Raw genomic sequence first — 25,706 nt, 5'->3', positions numbered from 1 at the left:
GAAAAAGGTAAAGTGGAGGACTGCAGCAGATTTTATAGGCAGGCTTGAGGAGGCAGTGTCTCATTTAGGTAGGGCTCACAAATGGGTTTGACTAGGTATGATGTTTACATAGCAGTGGGGAAGGCTGGTTGCCCCACCCTAATCTTATGCAAATGGACTTTTCACTTGGCCAGCTCCATCTTGCCTGCTTCTTACTATACACATGGCTGGCAAAAAGAGAAGATGGAGCCACCATATTGAACATGTCTCGTCCCAGGTAGTATATTCCTGTAGGCACAACAGCTTGCGTTCACTCTGCTTGCTTGTTTATGTCTGCAGCTTAATTTTACAGGTTGCTCTTTGTTAGAAAAGAAAATTATTTTGGGGTTGCTTTTCATTAAAAGGAAAACCTTACCGAGGACTAATATACCCTCACTATCTGCCTAAGTAATTTATTTTCAACTCTTATGTCAATACTTACATACTTACCACTTTCCTCATTCCTCTTAAATCTGGAAGTATGGCACAAGCCAGTGCATTTTCTACATCTATTCCATCCTTTTTCAAGTTTTAGCAGTTGCATTACTGCTACAGAATGCCAAAAACACCACTAATTCTGGGGTCCTCATTGACAGCCAGCCAGTCAGTGAGTGATCCAGAATCTCAGCCTTGGAGCCTGCTTTCTAGGATCACTTCTGTGCACTGATTCTTTGGGTCAGTGGGTCCCCTTAGAAGCAGAACTCAAGAAAGAGATTCTTGTGCAGTGATTTATTGAGTGCTCTCAAAAGAAAATGAGAAAAGAAGGAAAAAGAGCAAGGATAGAAGCTAGGCAAAGATGAAGTTTCAAAAGCCTAACCTCAGCTTGATCCCCCAGGGAGCTCTGAGGAGTGAATGGTGCCGCAGAATTATCCCTCTTGAGATGTAATGACTTGGCTTTTGTAACCCCATATTTTTCCCTCAAGTGTCGTGGGCCACCCTGGGACACTTGCTTTTATACCTCAGATATTACTAGGTGAAGAGATTCTCATTAATAGGCTAAAATTGGTAATCGCCAATTTTAATTAGGTTCCTAATATTCTATTGTAGGATTGTACTGTATTTTATTTAGCTAGATCTCCAGTTATTAGATATTTTGATTGTTTCCCTTTGTTTCTATCATAAACCACATGGAGATGAACATCTTTCTCTAAATAATTGAGTGTAATTTTTAAAGTAAGAACAAGATAACTGGTAAAATATGAAAAAGCCCTCGATTTACCAGCTTTTTACTGTGTGATATCAGTGCTATATAAGGATGAAAGTTGAGTTTTTTTTAATAAATGGAAATATGTTAAAGTTGTTATGGATATGGACATGAGAAGTGGAAATTAAAATGGAATAAAAAATTATGATAGGAATAATTTGATATTTAAAAATAGAAGTTTAGACTGGGCATGTTGGCTCACACCTGTAATCCCAGCACTTTGGAAGGCGAAGGGGGGCAGATCACATGGTCAAGAGATCGAGACCATCCTGGCCAACATGGTGAAGCCCCGTCTCTACCAAAAATACAAAAATTAGCTGGGTGCGGTGGTGCGTGCCTGTAGCCCCAGCTACATGGGAGGCTGAGGCAGAAGAATTGCTTGAACCCAGGAGGTGGAGGTTGCAGTGAGCCGAGATCATGCCACTGCATCCAGCCGGGTGACAGAGAGAGACTCTATCTCAATAAATAAATAAATAAATAATAATAGAAGTTTAAATTTATGAGAGAATAAATATAGGTCTTATATTTAGGTACTGTTTGGGGAAAACTCTCTAAGCATGTTTTTCCTCTGCTTTCATACCACCACAGCAATCATCAACAGAGAAGCTTTCTGCAACCAAAGGTAAGAGAATTTTTTCCCACACACCAAGTGGCAGACACCACCTGAATGTCTGCTAATTAAATTCCAGCATGATCTACCTACAGATAGCATCAGACCCCATGGATTGAGGGTTCAGTCCCCAAAACTGAGCCCTCTCCTCACACCAGTGGCAAGTCCAAGCCTCTGGAGCTTCTGGCTGAGCAACTCACAGAACCCAGGGAAATGCTTATTTTAGTTTATTGTTTATTGTAACAGATATTACAACACACATGAAGCGATGTGCAGGGCAGGATATGGGGGAAAGTGCTCGGAACTTCCATGCACTCTCTGGGCATGCCATAATCTAGGAAACTCCACGTGTTTAGTTATCTGGAAGCTCTTTGAACCCAGTCTTCTTGGTTTAGTTTTGTTTTCCTTAATCCCAAATGTGATAGTACTTCTTGGGTTTTTATGGAGAATCATAGGCATGAAATGTGGTTGAACAAAAAGGGTACAATCTCATATTAATAGGCTGAATGGGGAAACCCAGCAATGCCTGTTTGGATTCTTCTTGGCCTCTCTGTGCAGCATTTCTTCCTCCAGAGTATGGGGCAGAACCTTCTCTGGAATGAGGGTCTTTTGACCCACAGTCAGATCAGAGTTCTGCCTTGAGCAGGTAAAGGAGTTCAGGAGGTCAGAGAGAGAGATTCTCTTTCCTGAGGCTTGCTCCTGAAGCCTGCTCCTGAAGCCTAAAGTGCCCCAACATTATAATGAAAGACTAACAAGAGCTATGCAAGTTATGAGCCAGGAACCATGGATGAAAACCATGGGTACCTATGACGTATATATACACATGTCATAGGTATGTATATATACGTATGTATGTATGTATATATACGTCATAGGTACCCACAAGAATTTTCTAATTTCTTAGAAATAATTTCTAATAATAGAAATTATTATTAGATAAAATTAGAAATTATTATTATATAAAATTTGAAATAATGAGATATAAGAATTAGCTGAAAAAGCAAGTTACTCCTTGCTATTCTTGAAGTATACATATATACATCATAGGTATGTATATATACGTACTCATAACTCTCATATATGTATATGAGATATATATGTATATACATATATATGAGAGTTATGAGACAGGAACCATGGATAAAAACCATGAGTACCTATGACATATATATACATACATCATAGGTATGTATATATATGTATGTATGTATGTATGCATGCATATATACATCATAGACACCCACAAGAATTTTCTAATTTCTTAACAAATATAATGAGATATAAGAATTGGCTGAAAAAAGAAGTTACTTCTACTAAGTATGTAAAATCAGATCTATATGCCATAATTGGGCCATAATAAGCAATTAATAAATATGTATACACTAGTAAATGAGTACAAGAAACTGTCCCAAAATATGTAAGTTAAGAGGATGGATTAATAGGAAAAAGAAAAGTTTGTGGTATGTAAAGCTAACACTAGGATTTAGGTAAATAAAAAATTGAAGAAAAAAGAATGTATGCTTTCTTCCAAGATTATTGAAGACATATGGCAAGATATTCCTGTAGGAAAAGACAAATACTTACAAAAAGTAAATTAGTATAAGATGGAAATTGATGACTGAAATGTCTGAGATATTCAATTTTTTAAAAATGCATCTTAACTATAGGGATACATATATAGATATGTAAACAAAACAAAGTAAATTATTTTTATAAAGTTAATAGCAGCAGATGCTCCTAAGGGAGAGAAGAGGTAAGCAATTGGAAAAATGTATCCCATAGCTGATAAGGTACTGGTAGTGGTGGTGTGGTGGTGGTGGTGGTGGTGGTGGTGGTGGTGTTTTCCTAACCTAGGTGGTGGATACATATATGTTGTTTCTAGTATTATGTTTCAAAACATACTTTTGGAGGTCTAATGTATTTCCTTATAAAAATGAAATTAAAAGTAGGTTTTAATACCCCAGAAGAATTTTAAATAACCAATAAATTCAAAAGAAATCACAGTTATAAAAGAGGAACAAAATAGCTCTTGTTCAGTTCATATGAACCATATTGATCTTGGTTCAACTTGCCAATTCCAAAATACTTAAAATACAAACATTCTAAATTAATCTTTACTCATTTAATATAACAAACTGTTGTCACAGTAAATTGGAATCTAAAATTTAAAAAACTCACTGCACAACAGAATTTGGAATATGAGATCTTTGACCATTTTACCTCATGGACGTGAGAATAACACATGAGAATAACATCATAATGTTGTTCTTCTGTGATGTTATTAATAGAATGAAAAAACACAGAAGGGTAGAAAATTGTCAGTTAAAGCTTTGTTATGTACAGAAGCAATCATAAAAGTAATTTAGCACTAATATTCAAAAAAGGATAGCAGTGACCCTGAACATGATTCTGTTGTTAGTCTATCATGAACCACTCCTAAAATAATAAAACAAATATTTAGTGGCAAAAAAGTGGTGCCTTCTTAAGATTATAAACATTATAAGCAAGATTATAAACATTAAGCAGCATTAGAGTTTTTAAAATAAACAAATCATTGTAGAGAAACTTCATTAGTGATTTATAAGAGAGGATACACATCATGTTAATTAAATTTACAGATGATGCTAAATTGGATGGTGTTGGCAAAACCAGTGAGGGCAGATAAAAGGGACCTAAAGTGGTTAGAAATATGGGCAGGAAATGAAATGTGATTCAACCTGGAAAAATGTAGCTAATACATCTGGGGAAAAATGATCAGAAACACAGCCATTCAACTGGCAGGATATACAGTACTTGGAAAGCAGTATTACCAAGAGACTTTGAGATGATAGTGGTAGCAAATTATATAAGGTCTTGTAATGCAATGTGGCAGTAAAATCAGTCAATGAGATTTTAGTCTGTATATGCAAAAGCTTCACATCATGTGGCTGAAAGATAAAAGTTATTTAAATGGTACTGCTGAGATCACAAAGAGAATACAAGTTTGGGGCATGTACATGCCCCAAATAAGCAAATCAAGTAGTGTTCAGACTAGAAAATAAATGTATAATGATCTTCAGACTTTAATCCTTAAAATATTAAAATAACAAAATGTATATTTTTTGCTCATCTCTGAGTATAGTTATGATAACATTTTACAAATATTTGTAAGATACAAACATTATGGAAGTCAAGATATTTTTAAAGGTAGGATAAGAGAGTTTATAGTCAAGTATTGGGATGAAATTAAGTAACAGAAATTTAAGACTGAATCTGGGAAATGTTTTCTGACAGTGAAATCTATTAGTCTCTGGAATGGAATCTCGAGAGAGGTGGGGAGAATTTCTATTCCTCTAGTCATTGGACTAGATCAAGACTTGGATAGCGTATTATTTGAAGTAAAAAAAAAAAAAAAAGGTAAAAACTGATTTGACCATTTTGCATTGGATGGGCTGCACACAATGACATTGTCAAATCTTATCCAACTGTCTTATATGGCCTCAGACTTCTCTGACATGCTATGTCCTATTATTAAGTAACTGCCCATTATTTTTTAAATGAATGCTTTCTAAAAGACCAAATTCATATTTTCCAGTTCATGGACTTCAATTTCCTAGATTTTTTTTCTTCCAAGTCATAGGAATGCTAGAAAATAAAACACTCCTCCTTTTCCATGTTGATGAGATATGGTCTTAAATATTCCAAGCCTTTTGGATCAAATCAGAAGAGGTAGCTGAATTCTGAAGTCTCACTTACACCAGTGCATTGAAAACATATTTTTACTGCAGTTTTGCAACCACAACTATGCAATATATAAAAATTCATTCACCTCCTTTTGTGGGTTAATCCACAGAGAGATTTTTACCAGATGGTATCCTGGTGATATTATTTACTTTTAGCAAAGCAATATAACTGAGTTTGAAAAATATACAGTAAAGTATGCACTTCATCCCAACATTAAAACATTCTTTCAATTGTACTTTTAAATTATATAGTCTAAAGTTTGTCTATAACTTTGTTCTGTGTCCTAACAGCAAAATGAAAGTGGAAGGAGAATACTTTAAAATGGCAAATAAATTTTAACCCAAAATGTTATTCTTTTAAGCAAAACCAAAACCAACCAAATAAAAATTAACATTAAAACATGTACCAGACTGTAGGCAAGAGGTAAATTAGATATATAAATTTACATACATTATATATCTATTTAAGGTATAGATAGGTATAAAGTATGTATATATATATTTAATAGTCTTTTTATTTTTTTATTTTTTATTACACTTTAAGTTCTAGGGTACATGTGCACAACGTGCAGGTTTGTTACATATATATACATGCGCCATGTTGGTGTGCTGCACCAATTAACTCGTCATTTACATTAGATATGTCTCCTAATGCTATCCCTCCCCACTTCCCCCACCCACGACAGGCCCCGGTATGTGATGTTTCCCTTCCTGTGTCCAAGTGTTCTCATTGTTCAATTCCCACCTGTGAGTGAGAACATGCGGTGTTTGGTTTTTTGTCCTTGTGATAGTTTGCTGAGAATGATGGTTTCCAGCTTCATCCATGTCCCTACAAAGGACATGAACTCATCATTTTTATGGCTGCATAGTATTCCATGGTGTATATGAGCCACATTTTCTTAATCCAGTCTACCATTGTTGGACATTTGGGTTGGTTCCAAGTCTTTGCAATTGTGAATAGTGCTGCAATAAACACACAAGTGCATGTGTCTTTATAGCAGCATGATTTATAATCCTTTGGGTATATACTCAGTAATGGGATGGCTGGGTCAAATGGTATTTCTAGTTCTAGATCCTTGAGGAATCACCACACTGTCTTCCACAATGGTTGAACTAGTTTACAGCCCCACCAACAGTGTAAAAACATTCCTATTTCTCTGCATCCTCTCCAGCATTTGTTGTTTCCTGACTTTTTATGATTTAAGTATATATATATATTTAATAGTCTTTAAACTATACTTCACATTGTTAATCTCTGTTATCACTGTGGAAAGAAGTAAAGAAAATAGAGGCTCCTGTTGTCAAAGTAGTTAACATCCTAGCTGGAGAGATATATGTGAGAGGCAAATGTAGGTGGTACAAATGCATATCAGTTATTTAATAAAAGCATTTCAGTGGAATTATGCAAATTGGGTAGAAGTTGACAAATGGATTTATTTCATTGTAGTAGAGAATATTTTGAGGTCTAATAAACGATCTGGGAGCCTGGGCAACATGGTTAGACTTTTTCTCTACAAACATTTAAAAAACTAGCAAGGCATGGTGGCGCATACTTGTGGTTCCAGCTACTCAGGAGGCTGAGGTAGGAGGATCACTTGAGCCCAGGAGGTTGAGGGTGCAGTGAACTTTGTTTGCACCATTCCACTCCAGCCTGGGTGATAGAGCAAGACACTGTCAAAAAAAAAAAAAAAAATCTTATGAAATGGTACTACAGAGTTGGGTAAACAGTATATTAGTCAGTGATCTTCAGAAAAACAGAACTAATAGGAGATACCTATCATGGGATTATGGACACTGGCTAGTCCAAAATCTGTAGAGCTTGTATCCGCTTTCAAGTCCAAAGGCTGGAAGCTGCTATAGAACCAGGAAGAGCAAATGGTATAGTTTGAGGCCCATCAGGCAGGATAATTTTCACTTATTCTGAGGAAGATCAGCCTTTTGTTCTATTCAGGCCTTGAAATGATTGGATGCCAATCCTAGATTATCTGCTTTGTCTAGTCTACCAATTTAAATGTTAATCTCATCCAAAAAACACCTTCACAAAAACAGAATAATGTTTGACCAAGTATCTGGGCACCCTGTGGCCCAATCAGGTTGACGCAAAATTAACCATCACACAGAGATGGAGAGGAAGTTGAACTATAGAGAACAATTCTAAGTTTTTGAGTAAGGAAATAACATCATAGAGCACTTGAGGACTATTCTAATAGCAGTACATAGAAAAAGTGTGAGAAATAGACTTGACTCAAGAAAAGTTGGTAGCTGTGGAAAGAGCTAGCAGGGAGGAGGAGGAGCTCCAGAATTCATGTCTAAAGGGGAAAGATTATGCCTTCATTATCAGCTACGACTATAAAGAGAGGCTACTAATTTGAGTTTAAAGAGATATCAGCCTGGGGATTCAAAGTTAAGTTGAAATAGGGAAGTTGGGAAAGTTTTGCTTTTTTGGATTTCTAAAAAAGATTTATTTTGTCTGCCTCTGAAAAAATAATTCTGAAAACCACAGTTTTATTCTACTTTACCCTTAAATATATTAAAAATATGTTTGAGAGAAATAAATGATCAGTTTTGTTTTGGGGATAATTATAATGTAGTATAGTGTAATATATCACATATAATAATAGAATATAAATTTTTGATGTTAATAAGCCATACAAGTAGAAGAGTCTGTGGCTATGTAAGTACAAATGAGTTGGAAACTGCCCTTTTTTTCTTAGCCAAATAAGGGATATTGAGCCAGGAAAACAGCACTTCCAGTGTCACAGATCTAGGGCACCTATTTTTTTATTTGGGGATGTTTACATATTTTTTGTTGTACAAACAAAAATACAAAAATTCCTAATCCAAGTACATAATAAAAAAAGACCACATAAATTAGAGGTAGATCTTGAATTTAGAATAATTCTCTTTAAAAAAAAAAAAAAAAAAAACATGCGGTGGCGCAGTGACTCACACCTGTAATCCCAGCACTTTCGGAGGCCGAGGCAGGCGGATTGCCTGAGCTCAGGAGTTCCCGACCAGCCTGGGCAACATGGTGAAACCCCTTCTCTACTAAAATACAAAAAAATTAGCTGGGCGTGGCAGCATGCACCTGTAACAGTCCCAGCTACTTGGGAAGCTGAGGCAGGAGAATTGCTTGAATCTGGAAGGCGGAGGTTGCGGTGAGCTGAGATCGCGCGCTCCAGCCTGAGCAACAGAGCAATACTCCATCTCAAAAAACAAACAAACAAACAAACAAACAAAAAACATGCAGGCTGGGCACACTGGCTCATGCCTGTAATCCCAGCACATTGGGAAGCGAAGGCAAGTGGATGATTTGAGGTCAGAAGTTTGAGACCAGCCTGGCCAACATGGTGAAACCCCGTCTGTACTGAAAATACAAAAAAAAATTCAGCTGCGCGTGGTGATCCACACCTGTAATCCCAGCTACAGCTACTGGGGAGGCTGAGGCAGGAGAATCATTTGAACCCGGGAGACGGAGTTTGCAGTGAGCTGAGATCATTCCGCTGCAGTCCAGCCTAAGCGACAGAGTGAGACTCTGTCCAAAAAAAAAAAAAAAAGTCTAATTACAGAAGCAGAATTCAAAGTTCATAAATAGAATTCAAATGTTTGTATCTTTACTAACACAAGACAATTCTGAGCCAATATCACATGGTAGCCTGCCAGCTAACAATTCAACTTGCAGAGTTTTTACTTTTTACTTCTTTGTAGTTACTCAGTTTTTTGTGTTGCTTCTTGCTTAACTTCCAACTTGATTTCCTCCAAACGCTGGAGAGATTCTTTAGATGCCAATGTTGAAGGAAGGGCAGGGGTCTGAGTGGGAGGTGTCTGAATCCCGCACGCTGCTTCAACCAAGACAGCTCCAGATTATTTTTGTTTCGTTGGTTTCCAAAAAAGATTTGTTTTGTCCACCTATGAGAAAACAATTTTGAAAACCACAATTTTATTTCACTTTACCGTTAAGTGTATTCGAAATATTTTTGTCAGAGATTATATCTAAAAGTAAAGATGTATCCTAGATAGTCCATAATTTATATTTAGCTCTTAGGAGTAGAACCCTTTGTAAACATAAAACTTTGATTCCCCCCTTTTAAAAACAGTATTATTGAGATTTAATTCACAGGCCATACAATTCACCCATTTAAAATATACAGTTAAATTTTTACATTGTTTTTACGTAGTTTTGCAACCATCACCACAGTCAATTTTAGAACATTTTCATGACCCCAGGAAAACACTCCTTACCCTCTAGTGATCACTCTCTGTTTTACCCCAATCCTACAAATCCTAGGTAACCTCTAATCTACTTTCTGTCTATATGAATTTGTCTATTCTGAATATTTCATGTAAGAGGAATTATAATGTATGGTCTTTTGTGACTGGCTTCTTTAACTTAGCATTTTTTTTAGTTTCATCCATGTTGTAGCATGAATCAATATTTCATTCTTTTTTATGGCTGAATAATATTCCATCATGTGGCTATAACACATTTTATTTTTATGACTTCATTTTTATACATTCAATTTATACTCTGATTTTAGAAAACATTATGTACAAGTGTAGAAGACTATAAGCCATGTAAAATTATCATTTGATTCAGTTATAGTTACTACGTACAAAGTGATGTGCTAGACGTTGTAAGAGACACCAAAAGAAGATAAAATAACTATCTTAGGAATACTGTTTAATGATTTACTGAGCTCCTTGTCATATTTTCTAATATTCTTACTGCAATAATCTGTGGATTGTCATCGTTGTTAATCCCAAAGAATTAGGACTTGATGCAAGTTATTTAAACTTTCTTGGACTCAGTTTATTTATCTTAGAAACAGAATGATAATAGAAAAGCATTAGTGAAATGATAGGTATAAAATGTTTAAACAGGGCCTAGAACATAATTATTTCTCAGTAAATATTCTATGCATCAGAAACCTAATGTATTGCCCTCCAAGACCACACTGTCTAATATGTAGGCACTGGTCACATTTTACATGCTCAGTAGTCACTTGTGGTTACTGGCTGTTATATTGGACGCACAGATAGAGAACGGTTTCATCGTTGTAGAAAGTTATATTTGCAGTATTACATACTACATATGACTACCAAACAGGGAAGAGAATTTTAAGGTAGTGATTTAGATAGCATCACATATGTTCAGAATGGGTTGGGATCTCTTCCTTCTGTAATGATCAAAGCCCAGGGAGGAGATGCTACTTGAGCTAAACTTTGAAGAACAGATACTCCACAAAAAGAAGGGATCATTTAGCAATATTAGGTGCAATATATACATACCAAAAGTACAAGGCACTTAAGAAGAAAAGGATTTATGGGACATAGTGGTAAAAATAAAACTAGGGACTTAGGAAAGAATTCTAGAGGATTTTGTTGTTTTGTTTTTTGTTAACAGTGAAAGTCTTTTTTTTTTTTTTTTTTTTTTTTTTACAAGGTCTCACTGTCTTTGTGTTGCCCACATTGGTCTTGAACTCATGGGCTCAAGCAGTCCTCCTTCCTCAGCCTCCCAAAGAGCTGGGATTCCAGACGTGAGCCACCGTGCCCTGCTGTCATTAACTTTTGATAAGGGAAATTTTATGTCAGGAAGTTTGATCTGACAAAATGGTTACAATGGATAGGATGGATCAGAGGCTATAAGACTTATTCACAGGATGTTGCTACAGATCAGGTTGGGCCATTAACAGCCTGAATTTGTGATAGTGTCACACAAACATAAGGTAGGTAGATAAAACTGTGTGCCTACCTTGCACAGATATCTGTGAGTATTGAAACGTTTAGACTAGGCGCAGTGGCTCATGCCTGTAATCCCAGCACTTTGGGAGGCCGAGGTGGGCGGATAACCTGAGGTCAGGAGTTCGAGTCCAGCCTGACCAACATGGAGAAACCCATCTCAACTAAAACTACAAAATTAGCCGGGCATAGTGGTGCATGCCTGTAACCCCAGCTACTCAGGAGGCTGAGGCAGGAGAATCGCTTGAACCTGGGAGGCGGATGTTGCAGTGAGTTGAGATCGCGCCATTGCACTCCAGGCTAGGCAACAAGAGCAAAACTCCATCTCAAAAAAAAAAAAAAAATACTGAACAGTGCCATAACCTCATAACCTCCTCCTTCCACCCAACATTGCCCCCTACCGGAAAGTACTCTTTACATACTTGAGTACTGCTATGTCTTTTCTTAATCATCTGATGACTCAACATCCTAAGTTACTTCAACATTTCCTCTTATACCCTGAGTTTTGTATCATTTACCATCCTGTTTCCCTTCTTTAGATTCACTCAGATTTGTCATGGCCTCTGAAAATGTGGTGCCGAATGAATCTCAGTGTTCCAGATATGGTTTGACCAGTCTAGGATTCAGAGAAACTGTTTCCTCTACTGTACAGGCATTTTATGTGTTGATGTGTTGATGACTAAGGGGAATCCCTGGAGAAATTATAAGCAGGAATTTGGGAAATTAGAACTGGTGCCCATTCATTTAGTATTTATTTTTATTTATACCTACCATAAGCTGTACTCAGAATTACAGATAGATATTTCATAGTAGTTGACCTGAAGAGGAAATACACACACACACACACACACACACACACACACACACACACACACATAAAATAGTGTACCGAAGACAGATATTTGGACACAATGTTTTTGAGTGACTTTCTCTGCGGAGGAGGAGCTCGGGAAAACGGATGTGAAGTATCTAAATGAAGCAGACATAAAAGCAAAGAAAGGAGAGAATTTCGAGAGAGGCAAAGAGTTAACAGGGTCTGGAACTTCAAAGAAGCCAAGGAGTTCCAAGAAAGGCTACTGGATTTAGCAATTATGAAATTCTTGATTGGCCGGGCGTGGTGGCTCACGCCTGTAATTCCAGCACTTTCGGAGGCTGAGGTGGGTGGATCACTTGAGGCCAGGAGTTCAAGAACAGCCTGGCCAACATGGCAAAACCCTGTCTCCACCAAAAATACAAAAATTAGCCAGGTGTGGTGGCGCCCACCTGTAGTCCCAGCTACTTGGGAGGTTGAGGCATGACAATCATTTGAACTTGGGAGGCATAGGATGCAGTGAGCCAAGATCAGGCCACTGCACTCCAGCCTGAGTGACAGAGTGAGACTCTGTCTTGAAAAAAAAAAAAGGAAGAAATTCTTGATTACTTTTTTGTTTAATGAGATGGAATCAAGCTTTTAAGAGATCAAAGTTTTAGTGTGAAAAGGAAGAAAGTAGAACTCTTATGAACAGAAAGCATAGGCTAAAGAGGATAGTAGGACACGTGTATAGCTGTTTTTCTGGGTGAAGTTTGGAATTAGTCAAGGAACTCAGTTGTTTACGTGAAAAAAAAATAATAACCAGGAAAATTCTTAAAAAGTAACATAATGGGCTGGGTGCGGTGGCTCACGCCTGTAATTGCAGCACTTTGGGAGGCCAAGGTGGGCGGATCACCTGAGGTCAGGAGTTCAAGACCAGCCTGACCAACATGGAGAAACCCCTTCTCTGCTAAAAATACAAAAGTAGCCAGGCGTGGTGGCGCATGCCTGTAATCCCAGCTACACGGGAGGCTGAGGCAGGAGAATTGCTTGAACCCGGGAGGCAGAGGTTGTGGTGAGCCAAGGTCGCGCCATTGTACTCCAGCCTGGGCAACAAGAGCGAAACTCCGTCTCAGGAAACCCATCTCACATGCAGAGACACACATAGGCTCAAAATAAAGGGATGGAGGAAGATCTACCAAGCAAATGGAAAACAAAAAAAGGCAGGGGTTGCAATCCTAGTCTCTGATAAAACAGACTTTAAACCAACAAAGATCAAAAGAGACAAGGCCATTACATAATAGTAAAGGGATCAATTCAACAAGAGCTAACTATCCTCGATATATATGCACCCAATACAGGAACACCCAGATTCATAAAGCAAGTCCTTAGAGACCTACAAAGAGACTTAGACTCCCACACAATAATAATGGGAGACTTTAACACCCCACTGTCAACATTGGACAGATCAACGAGACAGAAAGTTAACAAGGATATCCAGGAATTGAACTCAGCTCTGCACCAAGCAGACCTAATAGACATCTACAGAACTCTCCACCCCAAATCAACAGAGTATACATTCTTCTCAGCAAAACACCTCACTTATTCTGAAATTGACCACATAGTTGGAAGTAAAGCACTCCTCAGCAAATGTAAAAGAACAGAAATTATAACAAACTGTCTCTCAGACCACAGTGCAATCAAACTAGAACTCAGGATTAAGAAACTCACTCAAAACCGCACAACTACATGAAAACTGAACAACCTGCTCCTGAATGACTACAGGGTACATAACGAAATGAAGGCAGAAATAAACATTTCTTTGAAACCAACGAGAACAAAGACACAACATACCAGAATCTCTGGGACACATTTAAAGCAGTGTGTAGAGGGAAATTTACAGCACTAAATGCCCACAAGAGAAAGCAGGAAAGATCTAAAATTGACACCCTAACATCACAATGAAAAGAACTAGAGAAGCAAGAGCAAACACATTCAAAAGCTAGCAGAAGGCAAGAAATAACTAAGATCAGAGCAGAACTGAAGGAATTAGAGACACAAAAAACCCTTCAAAAAATCAATGAATCCAGGAGCTGGTTTTTTGAAAAGACCAACAAAATTGATAGACCACTAGCAAGATTAATAAAGAAGAAAAGAGAGAAGAATCAAATAGACACAATAAAAAATGACAGGGGATATCACCCCCGATGCCACAGAGATACAAACTACCATCAGAGAATACTATAAACACCTCTACGCAAATAAACTAGAAAATCTAGAAGAAATGGGTAAATTCCTCAACACATACACCCTCCCAAGACTAAACCAGGAAGAAGTTGAATCTCTGAATAGACCAATAATAGGCTCTGAAATTGAGGCAATAATTAATAGCTTACCAACCAGAAAAAAGTCCAGGACCAGATGGATTCACAGCCGAATTCTACCAGAGGTACAAGGAGGAACTGGTACCATTCCTTCTGAAACTATTCCAATCAGTAGATGAAGAGGGAATCCTCCCTAACTCATTTTATGAGGCCAGCATCATCCTGATACCAAAGCCTGGCAGAGACACAACAAAAAAAAGAGAATTTTAGACCAATATCCGTGATGAATATTGCTGCAAAAATCCTCAATAAAATACTGGCAAACTGAATCCAGCAGCACATCAAAAAGCTTATCCACCACGATCAAGTGGGCTTTATCCCTGGGATGCAAGGCTGGTTCAACATATGCAAATCAATAAACGTAATCCAGCATATAAACAGAACCAATGACAAAAACCACATGATTATCTCAATAGATGCAGAAAAGGCCTTTGACAAAATTCAACAACCCTTCATGCTAAAAACTCTCAATAAATTAGGTATTGATGGGACGTATCTCAAAATAATAAGAGCTATTTATGACAAACCCATAGCCAGTATCATACTGAATGGGCAAAAACTGGAAGCATTCCCCTTGAAAACTGGCACAAGACAGGGATGCCCTCCTCACCACTCCTATTCAACATAGTGTTGGAAGTTCTGGCCAGGGCTATCAGGCAGGAGAAAGAAATAAAGGGTATTCAATTAGGAAAAGAGGAAGTCGAATTGTCCCTGTTTGCAGATGACATGATTGTATATCTCGAAAACCCCATCGTCTCAGCCCAAAATCTCCTTAAGCTGATAAGCAACTTAGCAAAGTCTCAGGATACAAAATCAATGTGCAAAAATCACAAGCATTCTTATACACCAATAACAGACAGATAGCCAAATCATGAGTGAACTCCCATTCACAATTGCTTCAAAGAGAATAAAATACCTAGGAATCCAACTTACAAGGGATGTGAAGGACCTCTTCAAGGAGAACTACAAACCACTGCTCAATGAAATAAAAGAGGACACAAAAAATGGAAGAACATTCCATGCTCATGGATAGGAAGAATCAATATCATGAAAATGGCCATACTGCCCAAGGTAATTTATAGATTCATGCCATCCCCATCAAGCTACCAATGACTTTCTTCACAGAATTGGAAAAAACTACTTTAAAGTTCATATGGAACCAGAAAAGGGCCCGCATTGCCAAGTGAACCCTAAGCCAAAAGAACAAAGCTGGAGGCATCACGCTACCTGACTTCAAACTTTACTACAAGCCTACGATAACCAAAACAGCATGATACTGGTACCAAAACAGAGATATAGACCAATGGAACAGAACAGAGCCCTCAGAAATAATACCACATATCTATAACTATCTGATCTTTGACAAACCGGATAAAAACAAGCAATGGGGAAAGGATTCCCTATTTAATAAATGGTGCTGGGAAAACTGGCTAGCCATATGTAGAAAGCTGAACTGGATCCCTTCCTTACACCGTATACAAAAATTAATTCAAGATGGATTAAAGACTTAAATGTTAGCCCTAAAACCATAAAAACCCTAGAAGAAAACCTAGGCAATACCATTCAGGACATAGGCATGGGCAAGGACTTCATATCTAAAACACCCAAAGCAATGGCAACAAAAGCCAAAATTGACAAATGGGATCTAATTAAACTAAAGAGCTTCTGCACAGCAAAAGAGACTACCATCAGAGTGAACAGGCAACCTACAGAATGGGAAAAAATTTTTGCAATCTATTCATCTGACAAAGGGCTAATATCCAGAATCTACAATGAAGTCAAACAAATTTACAAGAAAAAAACAACCCCATCAACAAGTGGGTGAAGGATATGAACAGACACTTCTCCAAAGAAGACATTTATGCAGCCAACAGACACATGAAAAAATGCTCATCATCACTGGCCATCAGAGAAATGCAAATCAAAACCACAAAGAGATACCATCTCACACCAGTTAGATTGGTGATCATTAAAAAGTCAGGAAACAACAGGTGCTGGAGAGGATGTGGAGAAATAGGAACACTTTTACACTGTTGGTGGGACTGTAAACTAGTTCAACCATTGTGGAAGTCAGTGTGGCGATTCCTCAGGGATCTAGAACTAGAAATACCATTTGACCCAGCCATCCCATTACTGGGTATATACCCAAAGGATTATAAATCATGCTGCTATAAAGACACATGCACACATATGTTTATTGTGGCACTATTCACAATAGCAAAGACTTGGAACCAACCCAAATGTCCAACAATGATAGACTGGATTAAGAAAATGTGGCACATATACACTATGGAATACTATGCAGCCATAAAAATGATGAGTTCATGTCCTTTGTAGGGACATGGATGAAGCTGGAAACCATCATTCTCAGCAATCTATCACAAGGACAAAAAGCAAACACCTCATGTTCTCACTCATAGGTGGGAGTTGACCAGTGGGAGCCCTTGGACACAGGAAGGGGAACATCACCTACCGGGGCCTATCGTGGGGTGGGGTGGGGCGGGGGCGAGGGATAGCATTAGGAGATATACCTAATGTAAATGACGAGTTAATGGGTGCAGCACACCAACATGGCACATGTATAAATATTTAACAAACCTGCATGTTGTGCACATGTACCCTAGAACTTCATAATAAAAAAAAAGTAACATAATCAGGAAAGACTCTCCCACTAAGATACTAAAACATATTACAAAGCTATGTTAATTTAAATTGTGTGTAAGAATACATTAATAGGCGGATCAATTGGTTGAATAGAAAGTACAGAAGTAGACTCAAATACTTATGGAAATTTAGTACATGTTAAAGGTGATGTTTCCAGTTGGCATAGAAAAGGTGTATTATACAACAATAAGAGATAGTGTGACAATGGGCTGGGCATCTGTACACACACAGAATGCTGGATTCTTACCTCACACCTTACAATAAAAATTTCAGATGAAACAAAGGTTTTATCTTGAAAAATAAAAACAAAAAAGTATTAGATTAAGCCCTGGGAGAATTATTTCTTTATACCAGAGGTGAGAACTCCTAAGTTGGACACAAACCTCAAAAGTCACAATGGAAAAGATTAATTAATTTGATTAAGTAAAAATATAAAAATTTCACAGTCAAATATCATAAGCAGAGCAAAAAGACTAACTATAAACTGTGGGAAACATTTAAAATTCTGTATTGCAAATAAGATACCTTAGTGTATTAGGAGCCTCTAGAAATCAATGAGAAATACCAACTATTTCATAAAATAAAAAACAGACAAGTGATGAAAAGGGTAATAAATCTAGTAACTCCTAAAATCTTGATGAGATTGTCATATTTTTAGAAGAGACAAGTGAATTAAGACTACACTGATGGACCATTTTTTAAATCCATCAGATAGGCAAAGGTAAAAATTTTGATTAGTTCTGTGGAGGAAAAGCAACCTCACACATTGTGAAATAAGTTGGTTGTAACTGTGTGAATTTATTTCTAGTTTCTCTATTCTGTACCATTGCTCTGTGTGTCTGCTCTTGTGCCAGTGCCATGCTGTTTTGGATACTATAGCTCTGTAGTATATGTGATGCCTCTAGCTTTGTCCTTTTGCTCAGGATTGCTTTAGTTCTTCAAGGTATTTTGTGGTTCCATACAAATTTTAGGATTATTTTTTCTATTTCTGTGAAGAATGTCATTGGTATTTTGTATTTCGATAGAGATTGCATTGAATATGCATATCACTTTGGTCAGCATAGAAATTGTAACAATATTAATTCTTCCAATCCATGAGCATGGGATATTTTTCCATTTTTTGTGTCCTCTTCAGTATCTTTCATGGGTGTTTTATAGTTTTCCTTGTAGAGCTGTCTCACTGTTTTGGTTAAATTTATTCCTAGGTATTATTTTATTTTATTTTTCATAGCCATTGTAAATGGGATTGCTTTCTTTTTTTGATTGATTATTGTTAGTGTATAGAAATGCTACTGATTTGTACATGTTGGTTTTGTACTCTGCAACTTTACTGAATTTATCAGTTCTAATAATTTTTGGTGGAATCTTTAAGTTTTTCTAAATGTGAGATCACATCATCTGCTAAGAAGGATAATTTGACTTCTTTTCAATTTACATGTCCTTTCTTTCTTTCTCTTGCCTAATTCGTTTGGCTAAGACTTTCAATACTGTGTTGAATAGAAGTGATAAATTGACATCAGATTTCACCTTTTCTTTTAACAAAAAAAAGGTTTTACAGTGGGTCAGCCCAATATGAACTATTGGAAACATCTCTAAGATAAATTAAGGAAATACACACACTATGGAATAAAACAGCATGAAGAATCTATGTTTAAGAGGTAGCTATCTATTCTCCAGGGATTTATGTTACCCTTCCATAGAGTAAAGTTGAATAAGTACCAACTCAGGGACTAAACTTCCCAGCTTCTGCATTTAAAATCACTGTTACTTCTTGTGGAATATGTGCAAAGTGATCTGATAGGACTTCTGGGCAGGGTGATTAAGAAGCAATTATGTCTTAATCTCTCTCTCTTTTTCCTCCATTTGCTGCTAAAGTGAAGACTGAAGCCTTAGGCTATGGCAGAAGTTGGGCGCCTGAAGTACACGTGGAAATATGCCAACTGAACATTGGACTACCACGTGAGTCCAAACTAAGCTTTCATTGTGTTAAACCACTGAGATTTTAGGGTTTAGTTATTACAGCAGCTAGCATTACCTCACCTAAGCAGTATGTTGTCATTTGAATGTATCTATTAAATGTAATACATGTGTGCATCTGTATGTACAGTGTGAGAGAGGGAATACACAAACTGAGAATGGTGTTTCACTCTTGGGATGGATGGTATTCAGGTTCAACATAAGAAGGAGACTTCTCATGTTCTGTTCTTTATACCATATTGTTTGAGTGTAATATCTAGCAAGAAAAAAAAATATTTGACCTTAGAAGGAAAGGAAAAAGTAGGGAGAATATTAGAGATATGAAAGATACTGAAGGAATAGGGAATACTTGAAGAAGTAAATTTCTTAGATGCATTAAGAAAAAAACTGATTCAAAGGCATAGTTAGAGGCTTATAACCAATAGAGATTCCTTATCCTCTGACATGAGAGGTGGCGGAAATAGCAGTTATATTGCCCATAACAAGAAAAATAGTGCAAGTGAAAAAATACCAAAGTGTAATTTCTCACCTGTCAGATGGACAGAAACCCAAAAGTTAGATAATACATTCTGTTGGCAAGCCTGTGGGGAAACAACATTCTCATATATCAGTGGTGGGTGGGAGGAACAAGAATATGGTAAAAAACATATCTTTGACCTAGGACTTCCCCTGTGGTTATCTATCCTGTAGGTCAAGGGTCTCCTACCCCTGGGCCATGGATCAATACCAGTCTGTGACCTGTTAGGAACCGGTAGCAGGAGGTGAGTAGCAGCCTAGCGAGCACTACTGCCTAAGCTCCACCTCCTGTCAGATCAGTAGTGACATGAGATTTTCATAGGAGCAGAAACCCTATTGTGAACTCCAAACACAAGGGATCTAGGTTATGCACTACTTATGAGAATCTAATGCCTGATGATCTGAGGTGGAACAGTTTCATCCTGAAACCACCGCCCCCATGTGTGGAAAAATTGTCTTCCACAAAACTGGTCCCTGGTACCAAAAAGGTCAGGGACCACTGCTGTAGGTAAACCTGCACTGGTACAAAATGACAGAAATATACACAGTCATTTATTATAGCATTGTTATATTGTTATATTGTTATTATAGCATTGTTGCATGAATACAGGATTGGAAATAAATCAAGGATCTAGTAATAAGGGACTGGTTGAATAAACCATGGAACACACGCAAACACACACACACATATACAAAATAGAGCTGTATATACTGGTATGGAGAGATATACAGAATGTATGAAGCTGGTGGGGTGAAGGGAAACAATATATAGAGCAGTGTTTATTGTTTGTTACCTTTTGTAGGAAGAGTGGAAAAGTAAGAGTATATATTTGTATTTTCTTGTATTTTTGTAAAGAAACTGGAAAAATAAAAAAAAAGCAACTAATAAAATGGTTACCTATAAGGAGTTGACAGGAAATATGGTGGCAGGAGTGGGACAAAGATTCATCTGTTGCATTTTTTGTATAACATTGACTGTTTAAAAACTTTTTGTTGTGTACTTTACACAAAAGAAGAAAGAATAGGTTAACTAACCTTGATACCCATCACCTAGCCTCAACAATTATCAATGCATGAGCTATATTACTTCATCCATAATTCCACACCCATTTCCCTTCACTAAATTATTTTAAAGTCAGTGTCAGACATCATATTATTTCATCTGTATATATCCGTAAATATTTCACTGTGTATCGCTGACAGATAAAGGCTGTTTTTTAAGAAATCATATCACACTAAAAATTATTGTAATTTCTTATGTCTAATGGAAATTTAAATAATATCTAATTAGACTACATTTTTGTGACCATTACCTTATATTTCAGCTGCCCTGCTTCCTTCTTTATTTATAGTGTCTAAGTTTATTGTGGGTCTTCTTAGTACAAATTAGCAATAAATTTTCTCTTGGAAATAATCTTAATCTCAGAGAAAAGCCTCAAGAATATTACAAAGAATTTCTGTATACTCTTCCCCCAGATACCCAAATTTACCATATTTGCTTTGTATCGTCCTCACAGTCTGTCTCTATGTATGATATTATATATTTAATTATATATGTGTTATGTTTTTCTGAACCATTTAAGGGTAAGTTGCAGACATAACGCCTCTTTCCCCCAAAATACGTTCATTTGTATTTTCTAAGAATATTCTGATATATAACCACAGGGGAAATTAACATGATACAATACTATTATGAAATCTACAAATCTGATTCATATTACACCTTTTTTTCCCTTGTATTTCTTTGCCCTTACAGGAAATAAATAAATTTTTTTTCTGTATCAGAGTGCAATCTAGTATCTCACGTTGCATTTATTGTCAGATCTCTTAGTTTCCTTTAATCTGAAATCATCCTTGTTTGTCTTTCATGACTTTAACCTTTTTTAAGTAGTGCAGGCTAGATATTTTGAAAAATATTACTCAATTTGGGTTTGTCTGATGTTTCTGCATGGTTAGAATTTTTGGTGAGGACACCACAGAAGTGACTTGGTATCTTTCTCAGTGTATCATATTAGAAGGGATGTGATATCTTTTTATTCACATGTTTATGTTTAATGTTGGTGTTAACTTGGATCATTTGGTTTATGTGCCATCTTGTAGGTTTCCCATTGTGAAGTTACTCTTTTCTGTCTTATAATTAGCAAGAATTTTGTTGGTAAAATAATTTGAGATGATGGAGATATCTTGTTCTTCGTAAGGTTTTCACCTATGAATTGTAATATATATTGATGATTCTTGACTAAATCTGCTTTTACTATAATATTTGCCAAATGATTTTCTTACCAAATAGTCCTTTCACATTAACTGGCTGGTGTGTTGCTATGAAGAAAAGCTTCTCCTCCTCTCCCATTAAGAAAAAAAAAAGGATCATTATGGACTCACGGATATCACATTTTTTCAGTGCTTATATTGTCCCAAATTCAGCCAGTAGAAATCTCTTCAAGCTGGCTCCAGTGTTTCTCAAATGTCCCTGTCTTTTTTTTTTTTTTTTTTTTTTTGACAGGGTCTTACTCTGCTGCCCAGGTTGGACTGCGGGTGGCACCATCACAGCTCACTGCTGCTTAGACCTGAGTTCAGGTGATTTTCCCACTTCAGCCTCCTAAGTAGCTGGGACTACAGGTGTTTACCACCACAGCTGGCTAACTTTTTTGATTTTTTGATGTTGTTGTTGTTGTTAGTAGAGACAAGGTCTCACCATGTTGCCCAGGCTGGTCTTGAGCTCCTGAGCTCAAGCGATCCTCCTGTCTTGGCCTCCCAAAGTGCTGGGATTACAAGTGTGAGCCTCCAAACTTGGCCCCTAACATTTTTTTTTTTAAATCTCTTCCTTGCTTTCTGGTATAACAAAATGTTCCAGACTCATGTTCTATATTCCTTGCCGCAGTTCTTCTATTAAGCCGTTTCTCCAGGGAGCCCTGGTTTCTTTTAATGATGTAAATCGTCATCTGTATACCAGATATACTTATTGTTACCAATTTTCAATTCTTCTTGCCTCAGTGTTGACTTTTAAAGCATGTAAATGTATTGTCTTATTAAAACATTATAGTTAAAAAAAACAGACCTGAAATCTCAAATAGATTGCAAAACCAAGTGAATATACCATTAAGAAGAAAAATGTAATACTGTCTGAGGACGCAGGCTTTAGAGTTGAATAGTTTAGGGTTCAAGTTCACCACCCCCAGTTAATAGTTTTGTAATTTCATTTTATTTACCTGCCAAATGATGATGGACACCCTCATTGGGTTGTTGTGAAGATTTAATGAGATTTAAACCTAGTGACTCATATTTTACATCTAAATGTAGCGATGGCTTTATGAATAACTGTTTATACTTAGCAAGTATTGGACATTATATTCAGGAAGTATTTGTTGAGTTGAATTACAGCTCTCTCAACTATGAGATACATTTCTAGATTCATTAGTAGTGGACTGTTTCTAGTATTCCCTAATTCCATATTATTAATTCATAGACATGCGGACACAAAGCAACCTGGAATTTCTCTTCAGCTCCAGGATGTTCTGAGTTGATAGAAGCTTGAGCCAACAATACCTAGATCAGACTTGTTAGATATACGGAAATAATTTATAAAAACCATTTATTTCAGATTAAACCTATATCTGCCTTATTACTAAATTTCTGCAGGTATATTATTACAGTGTTTTAAACTTTGACACTCTAGAATTATAGGATGAAAGTGAGTAGCAGGGAGAACAGCAGAATATTGGATTTAACATAATAGTGGAACTCATGTAGTTTAGCACAGGAAGGAATAGACAGGAGCATGTTATTATAAATTGGATTTTCAGTTGGTTCATACATGTCATACAATATGAAAGTGTTCATTTAGGTTCTTATCAACTTCAGGAAGATGGCAAGTTGGCTGCTTTTGCAGCTGCATCTGTTATAGTTTCTTATTCCCCAATAATTATGAACTGTATATATTCAAGATATAATATACACATGGCACTGATGGAGCTATTATGCTATCATTATCAGTAGTATTCACTCCTACCCTGCCAAATAAGCACCATACTGAATGTTTTGGATGGGGAAAAAAGGGACAAGCCAGTGCAGCAATGGTGGTGGTTAGTCACTTATACTATAGCAAAAAATTGGACTGGAGAAGGACCATTTCCTTCAGCATAACTCTCTATATTTCATAACCTTTGCCCAAAACTATTCAAACCAGCAAAAATGACTTATCCTAATTTATAAAATGTTTGCCAACATTAATTAGATGTTTCTTCTACTTCTCTTTATATAGATTACCTTGAAGGAATGTATGTTCTTCACGTGGATGGAGAGAGATGCAGTGTGTGTTTATTTTAGAAATACTGTAGGAATATAGAAAACATAAGTAAAAGTTGTGATGGATAGTTGAAAGGTTGCCTTCTACAGACATTGTATTAGTCAGGGTTCTTTTAAAGGGATAGAACTAATAGGACAGATATAGATATATATATTATTATCAGACTTCCTTAACTTACATGATCACAAGGCCCCACAATAGGCTCTCTGCAAGTTGAGGAGCATGGAGAGCCAGTCCAAGGCCCCAAACTGAAGAACCTGGAGTCCGATGTTTGAGGGCAGCAAGCATCCAGCATGGAAGAAAGATGTAGGCTGGGAGGCTAGGCCCATCTCGTCTTTTCACATTTGTCTGGCTGCTTTATATTCCCTGGGAGTTGATTAGATTGTGCCCACCAGATTAAGGGTGGATCTGCCTTCCCCAGCCCAGGGACTCAAATGTTAATCTCTTTTGGCAATACCTACACAGACACACCCTGGATTAATACTTTGTATCCCTCAATCCAATCAAGTTGACACTCAGTACTAACCATCACAGACATGTAGGCAGAACTACAAAAAGGAAAAGAAGGAACTGTGATAGCTATCATGTGAGAACTGTGTAATAACTATGTAATGGGATTTTATAAATATTCTGATAATTTTTTTAAACGACATAAGTAAGCTAAGGTTTTCTTATATTCCACACTACATGGTGAGGATTGAGTTACTCTTTTTATAGTATCTTTAAGGTTCACAATTAAAATATATTATGAAATCTGCCAGACACAGTGGGCCACGCCTGTAATCCCAACACTTTGGGAGGCCAAGGTGGGTGGATCATTTGTAGTCAGGAGTTCGAGACCCACCTGGCCAACATGGTGAAACCACCACTGTACTAAAAATACAAAAATTAGCTGGGTGTGGTGGTGTGCACTTGTAGTCCCAGCTACTTGGGAGGCTGAGGTGGGAGGATCGTTTGAACTTGGGAGGTGGAGGTTGCAGTGAGCCAAGGTGGTACCACTGCACTCCAGCCTGGGTGAGAGTGAGACTCTGTCTCAAAAAATAAAGAAAATATATTATGAAATAGTTACAGTACTGTAAAAAGTATTACAGTATGGCACAAACTTGTGGCAGCATGTGCAGCTGTTCTCAGAAGGCAATGCAGAGTGGTGTGGGCGTGTCATTGCTCTAAACTTTTCAATGATTGCTAATGACTATTTCACTTGGGCATGTAAAAACCATAAACTTAATTCCATTAATTCTCAATACAAAAAGATGTGTTCATGGAATGTTCAGGTTTTCATTTTCCATTGCTTTTCAGACCCTAGGGAAACCTTGAAATTATTCCTTAAAATCTGAAACAAGAGTTTAGATGTAGACCTTCATGTTTTGTTACTCCTGACATTATCCCTGGATAATATCATTCATTCTAACAGTTTTAGCCACAATACATATGTGGTGACTTAAAGCACACCTCAATACCACCATTTTCTTTTCTTTTTTTTTTTTTGTTTTTTTGTTTGTTTGCTTGTTTGTTTAGACATAGTCTCGCCCTGTCGCCCAGGCTGGAGTGCAGTGGTGCGATCTTGGCTCACTGCAACCTCTGCCTCCCGGGTTCAAGCAATTCTCCTGCCTCAACCTCCCGAGTAGCTGGGATTATAGACTCGTGCCACCACGCCCAGCTAATGTTTATATTTTTAGCAGGGATAGGGTTTCACCATGTTGGCCAGGCTGGTCTTGAACTCCTGACCTCGTGATCCACCTGCCTCAGCCTCCAAATGTGCTGGGATTATAGACG

General features: G+C 37.2%; 2 long non-coding RNA genes across 5 annotated transcripts in view; one reads left to right on the top strand and one right to left on the bottom strand.

Annotated features, from left to right (window-relative positions):
• LINC01572 (long intergenic non-protein coding RNA 1572) overlaps positions 1-25,706 on the top strand; it is a 384,069-nt gene that overhangs the window by 122,549 nt on the left and 235,814 nt on the right. For 2 of the 4 annotated variants that reach the window (NR_126330.2, NR_159372.1), the window contains 3 exons: positions 1,811-1,844; positions 19,007-19,090; positions 19,799-19,869. This is a non-coding gene — a long non-coding RNA (long intergenic non-protein coding RNA 1572). Of the gene's footprint in view, positions 1-1,810; positions 1,845-19,006; positions 19,091-19,798; positions 21,417-25,706 lie in introns of those variants that run through there. The other 2 variants (NR_159370.1, NR_159371.1) reach the window with 2 other exon arrangements.
• LOC124903718 (uncharacterized) overlaps positions 6,964-25,706 on the bottom strand; it is a 109,513-nt gene continuing 90,770 nt past the window's right edge. Inside the window, exon 2 of the long non-coding RNA XR_007065114.1 lies at positions 6,964-9,463. This is a non-coding gene — a long non-coding RNA (uncharacterized LOC124903718). The remainder of the gene's footprint in view (positions 9,464-25,706) is intronic.

This window comes from Homo sapiens, chromosome 16 (genome assembly GCF_000001405.40).
Source record: "Homo sapiens chromosome 16, GRCh38.p14 Primary Assembly".
NCBI lineage: Eukaryota > Metazoa > Chordata > Mammalia > Primates > Hominidae > Homo > Homo sapiens.
This window is presented reverse-complemented; position numbering and strand designations above follow the sequence as displayed.